Below are 12,651 nucleotides of genomic sequence, written 5' to 3'. Positions count from 1 at the left end.
GTGTCATGGCTCCAGAACTACCAGATTGCTAAAGCACAAACAAGGAACCAGGGCCGAAGCCTGGTTGTATAAGCTAGGGAAGGTCGCAGGCTGGAAGCCGCAAGCAGGCTCAGGTTGGAGGGAATCATCAATATTAAATGTCTGTCTTAGAGCCACAGACTAGGTCTACAGCTAGTGGGTCTGGGTTCTTAATCTGAGAAAAACCCAGAGTCTGCAAGAGACAGCCTGCTGAGGTAGGTGCCCACTATCTGTAGCAGGCAGAGACTGACATCCAGAATGACCCTCCAACCAAAAACAAAATAAATAAAACACATATCTTTTTGGTTGGAGCAATGACCATTCAACCAAAACCAAAATAAATAAAAACACATATCTATGTATATAGAATCAAATGCATATGTATGATACAGTCCACCAACCTGGTGGAATAAACTTTCGTTTTTAGCATTCCTTTCTTTTTGTTTGAAGACATTATTGTTAAAAGAAATATGGAGGTCCGGGTGCAGTGGCTCATGCCTGTAATCCCAGCACTTTGGGAGGCTGAGGTGGGCGAATCACCTGAGGTCAGGAGTTCGAGACCAGCCTGGCCAACATGGTGAAGCCCCATCTCAACTAAAAATACAAAAATTAGCTGGGAATGGTGGTGGGTGCCTGTAATCCCAGCTACTCAGGAGGCTGAGGCAGGAGAATTACTTGAACCCGGGAGGTGGAAGTTGCCGTGAGCCAAGATCACTCCACTGCATTCCAGCCCGGGCAACAAGAGCGAGACTCTGTCTCAAAAAAAAAAAAAAAAAAAAAAAGTAAAAGGTATATAGACCCTATCAACTTCACACAACAATACCTCAATGTTAATTATCTGCTTCTCTGTAAATTGAGGTTAGCTGAAAGCTGATTCAGGTTGAAGACAAGAAGGAGGCAAGAAGGATAGTAGAGCTAGTAGTAGACAATTAGCCATTGTATTAGTCAGGTTTCTCTGGGAACACACACACACACACACACACACAAACACACAGAGTCATGTGCAACATCATGGTGTTTCAGTCAACAGTGGACCACATACACAACAGTGGTCCCATAAGATTATAATGGAGCTGAAAATTTTCTATCACCAGATGACATTGTAGATGTCATAAGATCATGGAGCAATTACTATATTTTAAAAATAAACTTAGTGTAGCCTAAGGCTATGGGGCTTTTAAAGTCTGTGATAGTGTATAGTAACATTCTAGGCCTTCACATTCACCCACCACTCACTCACTGACTCACCCAGAGCAATTTCCAGTCCTGCAAGCACCATTCATGGTGTCTTATATAGTTATATCGTTTTTTATCTTTTATACCAGGTTTTTACTGTAGTTTTTATGTTTAGGTATGCTTAAGTACACAAATACCGTTGTGTTACAATTGCCTACAGTATTCAGTACAGTAAAATTCTGTACAGGTTTATCTCCTAGGAGCAATAGGCTATACCATCTAGTCTATGTATGTAATAGGCTATACTATCTTGGTATGTAAGTATATCTGTGATGTTTGCACAACCATGAAATGGCCTAATTACGCATTTTTCAGAATGTATCCCCATCATTAAGCAACACATGCATACACACACACTATGGAACAACTAGTTATGTCTATGGAATGCACTGAGTCTGTAGATCAAATTGGAAAGAAATGACAGCTTGACAATACTGAGTTTTCCTATCTTCATGCATGGAATATCTCTCCATTTATTTAGAGCTTCTTTGATTTCTTTCATCAGAGTTTTGTAGTTTTTCTTATAGATCTTACATATATTTTGTTAGATATATACCTAAGTATTTAACTTGTGAGTACTAGTGTAAATGGCTTTATGTATTTTATTTCAAATTCCATTTGTTCATTGCTGGTATATAAGAATGCAATTGACTTTTGCATATTAACCTTGTATCCTGCAACCTTACTATAATCACTTATTAGCCAGTTCTTGTTGATTCTTTGGTATTTCTATGTGGACAGTCATGTCATCTGCAAACAAAGACAGTTTTATTTCTCCCTTACCAACCTATACACTTTTTATGTCATTTTCTTGTCTTATTGCATTATCTAGGAGTTCCAGTACAATGTTGAATAGGAGTGGTGACAGCAGACGTCCTTGCCTTGTTCCTGATCTTAGTGGGAAAGCATCTAGTTTCTCACCATTAAGCATGATGCTAGCTCTAGGGATTTTTAAAATAGATATTCTTTATCAAGTTGAAGAAGTTCCCTTCTATTTCTAGTTGGTTGAAAGATTTTTCATAAATGAGTGTTGGATTTTGTCAAATTATTTTTCTGCATCTGCTGATAGGATCATGGGATTCTTCTTCAGCCTGCTAATGTGATAGATTACAGCGATCAGTTTTCAAATGTTGAACCAGCCTTGCAAACCTGAAACAAATCCCTCTTAGTCCTAGTGTATACTTTTTTATACATTGTTGAATTTGATTTGCTAATATTTTGTTGAGGAGGACTGGCATTTAAGCAGCAATAAAACGTATTATTTTATAACAATCCACATGGGTTTGTGCAAAACAATTTTTTGCATTCTCTGTATAGCAGAATGATTAAACAAGCATGTTCGTTAGGACTATGTATACAAGGATATAAAATAGTAGAGTTCTGTTTAAATGATATCTGACTGGGTGCAGTGGCTCACGCCTGTAATCCCAGCATTTTGGGAGGTCGAGGCAGGCAAATCACCTGAGGTCAAGAGTTCAAGACTAGCCTGGCCAACATGGTGAAACCCTGTCTCTACTAAAAATACAAAAAAATTAGCCGGGCGTGATGGGGCATGCCTGTAATCCCAGCTACTCGGGAGGCTGAGGCAGGAGAATTGCTTGAATCTGGGAGGTGGAGGTTGCAGTGAACCAAGACGGCGCCACTGCACTCACGCCTGGGCAACAAGAACGAAACTCCGGCTGGGCACGGTGGCTCACGCCTGTAATCCCAGCACTTTCGGAGGCCGAGGTGGGCGGATCACGAGGTCAAGAGATCGAGACCATCCCGGCTAACACGGTGAAACCCCGTCTCTACTAAAAATACAAAAAATTAGCCGGGTGTGGTGGCGGGCACTTGTAGTCCCAGCTACTTGGGAGGCTGAGGCAGGAAAATGGCATGAACCCAGGAGGCGGAGGTTGTGGTGAGCCGAGATCGCGCCGCTTCACTCCAGCCTGGGTGACAGAGCAAGACTCCGTCTCAAAAAAAAAAAAAAAAAAAAAGAACGAAACTCCATCTCGATAAATAAATAAAGATATATAAATATCTTTTGTATTTGTCCCCTCTCTCCAACTGCTGCTTTTTTTTCCAGTTATGATACCTTCCCTTTCACTTTCTACTTCTATGACTCACACAGTGATGTGATTTATGACAGCTCAGAGAGACTTCCAGTTTTTCATGGTAGATTAAACAGAAGCATTTTTATTTGCTCACTCCTGAAACCAAACAAAAATGATATTGAGTAATTAAAAAACACATAAACACAAAAAGAATGAATGGGGGGGAAATAACAGATAAAGATTATTAACAAAATAAAATAAATCAATAAAATAAAATTTAGAAAAGTGGAAAACAGATGATGGAGTGGTAACTTACTTAGCAGACAGGAGAAAGCCAAAAACCTACAGCTTTGTTAGCAAATTCTTTTGTGTATATTTCCTGCAGATGGATATTCTCCTGCACAGTCAAAACACTGCCATCAAAATCAGGAAGTTGACATTAATACGTTACTACTACTTAATCCTTTTACCCTATTTAAATTTCTAGTTGTCCCAATAATCTCTTTAATACAAGAGGAGCTAGTCCACAATTATACGTTGCATTTATTTGTCATATCTCTTTACTCTCCTTCCATCTGAAATCGTTCTTGACTCTTTCCTCGATTTTCATGAACTTGACAAGTCTGATGACTATAGAACAGTTATTTTGAGGAATATCCCACCATTTTGGTTTTTCCAGTGTTTTCTCATGACTAGATTTGGGTTGTGAATCATGGAAGTGATGCTGTGTTCCCATGGCATTCCATCAGGGGATTCTGATGTCTATTTGTCCCATTACCAGTGATATTGAGGTAGGAGGCAAAACTTGACTCCAGAGGCAGGGCTCAGATTCAGGACCAAATTGAGGACTAGCAAAAACAGGTTCCCAGGGGAAGCAGCTTTCCATAAGATACACCCATCCGTATGCCATATCAGTTTACCATTGCCATGGCAACACCTGGACATTACAAGGCCTTTCCATGGCAACGGCCTGATGACCTGGAAGTTACCACCCTCATCCTAGACATTTCTGCATAAACTGCCCCTTAATTTGTGTATAGTTAAAACAGGCATAAATATTAGTGCAGAACCACCTCCAAGCTGCTTCTCTTGGCACACTGCCTTTGGGGTAACCCTGCTTCACAAGGAGCTGCACCTTTCCTGCTGCTGTATGCTGCCAAGTTGCTGTTTAACACCACCTGCTAACCCTTGAATTCTTTCCCAGGCAAAGCCAAGAACCCTTCTGGGCTAAGCCTCAATGTTGGGGCTTGCCTGTTCTATGTTAGTATTATGTTTGGTCATTTGATTAAGAAGGTGTTGGCCATGATTCTCCACTGTAAGTGACTGTTTTTCCCTCTGGAATTAATACTAATATTAGTTTTTGAAGAGGTAAGGTAAACCTATGTAAATATCTGTTCCTCATCTAACTTACAATTTATTCACATTGGTATACATTTCTTTATACCAAATGTGGACTCATGGGTTCCTGTTTTATTTGATGAGTTATAATTTGTTACGATTACTTTTTTTTTTTTTTTCTTTGAGAAGGAGTCTCGCTCTGTGTCACCCAGGTTGGAGTGCAGTGGTGCAATCTCAGCTCACTGCAATCTCCGCCTCCCGGGTTGAAGCGATTCTCCTGCCTCAGTCTCCTGAGTAGCTGGGACTACAGGCACACGCCACCACAAGTGGCTAATTTTTGTATTTTTGGTAGAGACAGGGTTTCACCATATTGGCCAAGCTGATCTCGACCTCCTGGCCTCAAATGATCTGCCTGCCTTGGCCTCTCAAAGTGCTGGGATTACAGGCATGAGCCACCGTGCTTGGCTATAATTTGTTATGATTACTACTAATTTTGATGTTGTTTGTCTCAGATTTGACCAGCGGGGAGCCCATTCCAACTGGATTCTATGCCCTTTAACAGAGCCCCATCATTATTTTGGGGACTTCCTTATTTTTTTGCACAAAACTTTCCAGGCTCATTTTGTGCATCCCCTGTCCCGGTTTGCAAATTATTAATTTCATCAAAAAGCCTCGGATATTTTTGTTTGTTTGTTTTTGGTGGAGAATGGTTTTCAGAAATCAAGATTGGGTCTTTAGGTGTGCTCAATAATATTGAGGTGTTGACATGTTCAAGTCTTGTCAGTGGGCAGAACTAGAAATTACATGTATGCGTATGTATATATCTTTCTATAAAGCCATGAATTCACACCAATTCCAGCTATTGGTTCACTCTTGCTTTCTGCTTTCCATATTTGTAATTCCCTTCTCTGACAATGAGAAAGCTGGTCTCTACTATCATTAATATTCTTTTTTATTTATTTAGGCAGGGTCTTGCTCTGTTGCACAGGCTGGAGTGCAGTGACATGATAATGGCTCACTGCAGCCTCAACCTCCCAGGCTCGGCGATCCTCCCACCTCAGTCTCCCTAGTAGCTGAGACTCCAGGTGCACACCATCAGAGCTGGCTAATTTTTTATTTTTTTGTAGAGATAGGGTTTCACGATGTGGCCCAGGCAGGTCTCAAATTCCTGGGTTCAAGCAATCCCGTGACCTTGGCCTCCCGAAGTGCTGGGATTACAGGCATGAGCCACCACGCCTGGTCAATATACTTATTTATCTCCATATATGTAGCCAATGTCCAGTCACCATTGCTGCTGCCCTTCTCCACACCCTCTTCTCCATGTCCTCCTATTCTCATGTGGCCCTTACCCACATAACTGTAGCATTTATTTGAGTCTCTTAAATATTTCTCAAAACATTAAATAATTTTCAGCGTAAAGATCTTGAACATCTTTTAAAAAATATATTAGTAAATACTGTTGCATGCTTTTGTGGACACTAAATATCTGAGATTGGTCTCAGTCAATTTAGGAAGTTTATTTTGCCAAAGTTAAGGTCATGTGCATGTGACACAGCCCCAGAAGGTCCTGAGGACATGTATCCAAGGTGGTAAGCATAGCTTGGTTTTATACATTTTAGAAAGACATGACACATCAATCAACATATGTAAGATGAATATTGGTTCAGTCCAGAAAGGCGGGACAACTCAAAGCTGGGAGTGGGCTTCCAGGTCATAGGTAGATAAGAGATAAATGATTAACATCCTTTTGAGTTTCTGATTAGCCTTCCCAAGGGAGGCAATGAGATATGCGTTTATCTCAGTGAGCAGAGGGATGACTTTGAATAGAATGGGAGGTAGGTTTGCCCTAAGCAGTTCCCAGCTTGACTTTTCCCCTTAGCTTATGAAATTGGTTTTTATTTTCTAATTGTTTGCTGTTAGTACATAGACATGCAATTGATTTTTTCATACTGACTTTGTATCCTAAGACTTTGTACACTCATTCACTGATTCTAGTAGTTTCGCTGTTATTATTTATTGATTCCTTAGGAGTTTTACATTAACAATCACGTTGTCTGTGAATAGAAAGTTTTATTACTTTTTCTCCTATTTTTATGTCTTTTCTTTCTTTGTCTTGCATTATTGTGATGAACTTCCAACTGAATAGAAATGAAAAAATCAGAAATTCTTTCTTTGTCCTTTATTTTATTTTTTGAGACAGAGCCTTACTCTGTTGCCCAGGCTGGAGTGCAGTGGCATGATCTCAGCTCACTGCAACCTCTGCACCTGGCCAATATACTTATTTATTAACTCCTCCTGGGTTCAAGTGATTCTCCTGCCTCAGCCTCCTGAGTAGCTGGCAATACAGTCACCTGCCACCACGCTTGGCTTTTTTGTGTTTTTGGTAGAGACGGGGTTTCACCATGTTGCCCAGGCTGGTCTGGTCTTGAACTCCTGACCTCAAGTGATCCTCGGCCTCCCAAAGTGCTGGGATTACCGGCGTGAGCCACCACGCCCAGGCTTTTTTTATTTTAGAGATAGGGTCTCCCTTTATTGCCTAGCCTGGTCTTGAACTCCTGGCTTCAAGTGATCTTCCTGCCTCAGCCTCCCAAAATGCTGGGATTTCAGACACGAGCCACCATGCTCAGCCTGTGAAAATATTTTTCATAATAAATTCAATGTATTTAAAAAGGGTTGTTCCAATTTTTTATTTCATATTGTGCCAACTTAGATTTTACTTTTTAAGGAACTTGGCCATTTTATCTAAGTTGTTAATATATCAACCTAAGATAGTTCACACTATTTTCTTATCCTTCAATGCCAATAGGATCTGTAGTGATATCCATACGCTCTTTCATTCCTGACACTGAAAATGTATATTTTCTCCCTTTTTTTCTTAATAGGTCTTGCTAGAATTTTATCTATTTTATTACCCTTTTCAAATAATTCCTTCTGGCTTGCTTATAATTTTCTCTATAGATTGCTTCTGGATTTTTTTTTCCCATCGATATCTGCTTTTTACTCTTTCCTTCTTGCTTTGGGTTTAACTTGTCTTTTTGTAGGTTCTTAAACTGGAATCTTAAGATAATTTATGTTAAGCTTTTCTTGCTGTCTCATATTAGCATTTAAAGATGTAAATACAACCCACAAATTTTTTATGTTGTATTTTCACTAACTTTGTAATATTTTCTCATTTCCCTTATGATTTATTTTTTGCCTCATGTGTTACTTAAAAGTGTGTTGCTTAATTTTCAAATATTTGGGAACTTCCTAGCTATCTTACTGTTACTGATTTCTAATTGAATTCTGTTGTGGTCAGAAAACATACTCTTTCAGAATCCAATATTTATCAACAATTTATTGAGACTTGTTTGATGACCCAGCATTTAGTCCATCTAAGTGAACATTCTATTTGCACTTGGAAGGAATGTGAATTTTCCACTTGGGCTTAGTGTTCCAAAGTTGTCATTTAGGTCAAAGTGATTAATGGTATGGTTTAGATCTTCTATAGCCTTATGGATTTTGTCTCCTAGTTCTATCAATTACTGAGAGAGATATGTTAAAATCTCCAGCAATGATTGTGGATTTGTCTATTTTTTTATTGCTATAATCCTGACAGTTTGTATTTCATGTATTCTGAAGCTCGGTTATTTAGCATACAGTCATTCGTAATTGTTTGGTCCTCCTGATGTATTTACACTCTTGTCATTATGAAATGTCTCTTTTCTTCTCTGCTAACGCTCCTTTTCTTGAATTCTATTTTGTTTGACATAAATACAGCCACTCCAGATTTTTTGTGCTGATTGATTTCATGGTATATCTTTTTCCATCCTTTGACTTTCTTTTTTTTAAATTAATTAATTTATGTATTTATTTTTTTGAGACAGAATCTCACCCTGTTACCCAGGCTGGAGTACAGTGGCATGATCTCGGCTCACTGCAACCTCTGCCTCCTAGGTTCAAGCGATTCTCCTGCCTCAGCCTCCCAAGTAGCTGAGACTACAGGCGCATGCCACCACGCCCAGCTAATTTTTGTATTTTTAGTAGAAACGGGGTTTCTCCATGTTGGCCAGGCTGGTCTCAAACCCCTGACCTCAGGTGATCCACCTGCCTTGGCCTCCCAAAGTGCTGGGATTACAGGTGTGAGCAACTGTGCCTGGCCCATCCTTTGACTTTCAACCTATTGGTGTCTTTGTACCTAAAGTGTGAAAGTGTGCCTCTTGCAGACAGAGTTAAGTCACACTTTTTCAGCTGGTCTGATAATTTCTGCCTTTTAACTGGAGTTTTTTCATCCATGTACATTTAATGTAATTTTTATAGGGTTGGATTTAGGTGTACATTTTGCTATTTGCCTTCTATTTTTCCAGGTTTTATTCCTCTCTTCCTCCTTTCTTGCCTTCTTTTGGATTTTTCAAATATTTTGTAGTATTCCATTTTTATTTTTCTGTTGACTTTTTTGCTATGTCTTTTACATTTTTTAGCAGTTGTTTTAAGGATTTCAATATACATCTCTAATTTGTCACAATCATACTACTTCACATAAAATATAGGAACCTTATAATACTCTAGTTTTATTTACCACTCCCTCAGACTTTGTGAGATTTTTGTCATAGTACATCTACTTATGTTACAAACCCCATAATACGGTGTTATTATTTTCCATTAAACAATCCCATGATTTTTTAAAGAAATTCAGAAAACCAAAATATATATCCTTTTCTATTTACCCAAATATTTACCATTTCCTGTGTCCTTATTATTTTCATTGGATCCAAGTTACCATCTAGTGTCATTCCCTTCCAGCTTGAAAAATTCCCTTTAGCATTTGCTATAGCACAAGTCTGCTGGTGACACATGATCTCAGGTTTTATCTGAAAATATCTATATTTTGCTTTCCTTTTTGCAAGATAATCTTGCTGCATACAGAATTCTCGGTTGGCATTTAGGTTTTAGTACTTAAAGATGTCATACAATTGTTGTCATGGGTTTGGTTCCCTGGGAGACAGACTCCAAGATGGAGTTTATCGCATAGATGTTTACTAAGGAATTTCCTTGGCATCAAAACCTGTGGGAAAAAGAAGAAAGTAAGAGTGGTCAGAAGGAAAAGTTCATCTGTGATGTATGCCCTATAACAGTCTCAGCTGACCACCCGGGAAGATCTGGAGCAAGAACAGCCCTTCAGATACGTCTTGCCACGGACCAAGATGGTCAGGCCCAATTGACTGATCCCTGACTGTAGGCACCTCAGGAAGGGGTATGACCTAGAGTGAGGCAATTCTCGACAGCTGAAGCAATTCCTAAAGAAGCGGACAAATGAAAGTTATCTACTAACAGCACTCTTCACAGCTGGGGCAACGAGTTTTTCACCGAAGGTTTCCTGGGTGTGCATCATAGTCTTCTGGCCCTGTTGTTTCTGATGAGAAGTCTGCTGTCGTTTGTGTTATTGTTTCTCTTTATGTAGTCTATAGAGGTGTTTTTTTTTTTTCTTGGCTCCTTTCTTTTCATCTTTGGAATTCAGCAGTCTGCCACATCCTTAGTGTAGTTTTCCTTGCATTTCTTCTGCTGTGGTTAACTAACCTTTTGGATCTGTAAGTTTATGTTTTTACTAAATCTGGGAGGCTTTGGCCATTATTTCTTCAAATTTTTTTTTCTTCCCTCTTCTCTCCCTCTTCTCTAATTCTGGAAGTCCAATTTCATGTGTTCAACTGCTTGGTATTATATTACAGTTCCCCGAGTAGCTATTCATATATCTTCTATCTTTTCCTCCTCTTTTCTTGAATTTGGATAATTTCCGTTCATTATTTTCTGATTCACTGACTCTTGTGCCACCTCCAATTTGCCATTAAATATATCCAGTAAATTTTTCATTTTATTTACTGTATTTTTCATCTAAAATTTTCGTTTGGATCTTTTAATTGTTTCCATTTTGCTGCTAAGATTCTCCATCTGTTCATTCATTACATGTATTTTCCTGTAAGTCCTTGAACAGTCTTATAATAGCTGCCTTAAAATTCTTGTCTGCTAAGTACCACCTAAGGTTTGCTTCTCATTGACTGGGTTTTTTTTTTTTCTTCTTTTGCATATGTATCATATTTTCTTGTTTCTTATATGTTTAGTCATTTCTTAACTTATACCAGACATAATGAATGACACATTGTAGAGTCTCTGGATTCTGTTACATTGCTAAGAAGAGTGTTGATTTCTGTTCTAGTAGAGAATTAATTTTAATGTGCATATTTCAGTTTTCAGACAAGAATTTGAGCAATGTATATGCAAATTTGGGGGCTTGTTGCCTCTATGAAGCCCTCCCTTCTAGACTTATCCCCAGCTTCCTAGCTGCTTTTCAATCCTGAACACTGTACTCTGACACCACAGTCCAGTAAGGCTGGAACTTTCTTCATCCTCAGCCACCTACTCGATTAGTGAACATCTTAGGGCAAACACTACAAACTCAAAAATCACATTGGTATAGTTCCAACCTTTTAAGGGTAGACTTTTCTCCAGTTTTTGCCTGCTTTCAGTCTCTGTCTGGTATCTTCCGATAGGTGATTTTTAATATTTTCACCCAGACTTTATCATTGTCATCTGTGGGAAGGTTAGTCCCACCAAGTTACATAATTATTACCAGAAGCCAAATTTCCTGATATTATATTTTGCTCCATACTGGAATCATGTCCCCTACCCCCACCCAATTTTTCTTTGTGTTAGAACAGCAGTTTTTGTTCAAATGTTAATCTTCCCACATATCTTTGGGGGTAAGTCGTGATTAGGCTGTCAGTTGTTATAATTTATTGCCCTTGCATCAATCGTGTTTAGGAAGGTTCATATATTAATCAGGAAACCAGAAGCTACTCTATGTAGCCTAGATATTAAGGGTTTTAGTATAGGGAATTTGTGGTTTACCCCCCAGGACCCCCCTAAAAAAAAACCTAAGGGAGCATTGGTAACAGAAGCTACCTGATATGGTTTGGATTTGCGTCCCCAACAAAATTTCATGTCGAACTGTAAACCCCGTGTTGGAGAATGGGCCTGGTGGGAGGGAATTGGATCATGGGGGCAGACATTTCCCTTGCTGTTCTCATGATAGTGAGTTCTCATGAGATCTGGTTGTTGAAAAGTGTGTTGCACTTCCCCCTTACTCTCTTCCTCCTGTCCCAGCCATGTAAGACGTGCCTGTTTTCCCTTCCACCATGATTGTAAGTTTCCTGAGGCCTCCCCAGCCAAGCTTCCTGTACAGCCTGTGGAACTCTGAGCCAATTAAACCTCTTTTTTTTTTTTTAAATAAATTACCCAGTCTCAGGTAGTTCTTTATACCAAGAATGGACTAATACACTGCCACTGACTTTCTCAACCTGAAGCACTCAAAGAAAGTGGTTCTTAAAACTCACCTTGACATTTTTAGCAGTATCACACCTATTCATACTTCTGACCACAACTGACTCTAGAGAATGATCTCTTCATCACTATGGCTCAAGGGTGCCTCTCGTTGTTACATTACACCCTGGAACCATACGACAAAGGGGATTCTGGCAAACATAGTTCCAGGCTTCTCTTCTTCAAAGCAGAGGAGACCTTAGAAGGGGTAGTGTCGATAGTGAATTGACAACAGATGATCCAACACAGGGCATGGGACCCAAATTAGCCAAAGGAACGTGAGGGGACAGGAGCTGGAGAGATTCTGGAAAAGACTTAGCTGCTAATAAACTGAACAATACAAAAAGACTCACAAGAATAGTCCCTCTTCTTCTTCCACTGAATTCATTGTTGTTGTTCATTTTTGCATGACTCTTGGAATAAAAGCATGAATCTTGTGATGATGAAAGGAGCTAGCTGAGATGGAGGCAAATACAGTGTCTAAAACCTATCCAACCTGGATTTCTTGTTGTGTGAAAATAAATATTATTTAAGTCATTTTCAGTTGTTTTTTCTGTTACATGTAACAGACATGGCTCATTTTCATCAAGGAGGTAAATCCCAGAAGGAATGGTTTAAAGGGGTGAAACTGGTAGCCTTCAGGAAACCAGAATAGGAGTGAGGAGGTGTG

At 39.3% G+C, this 12,651-nt stretch overlaps 1 long non-coding RNA gene across 1 annotated transcript; it reads right to left on the bottom strand.

Annotated features, from left to right (window-relative positions):
- Positions 1-3,374: 3,374 nt before the first annotated feature.
- Positions 3,375-12,309, bottom strand: LOC105376422 (uncharacterized). The gene is made up of 3 exons (XR_930675.1): positions 11,996-12,309; positions 9,347-9,672; positions 3,375-3,446 (listed from the first exon to the last, which is right to left on the bottom strand). It is a non-coding gene; the product is annotated as an uncharacterized LOC105376422 (long non-coding RNA).
- Positions 12,310-12,651: the final 342 nt, after the last annotated feature.

Source organism: Homo sapiens, chromosome 10 (assembly GCF_000001405.40).
Source record: "Homo sapiens chromosome 10, GRCh38.p14 Primary Assembly".
NCBI classification, from domain to species: domain Eukaryota; kingdom Metazoa; phylum Chordata; class Mammalia; order Primates; family Hominidae; genus Homo; species Homo sapiens.
This window is presented reverse-complemented; position numbering and strand designations above follow the sequence as displayed.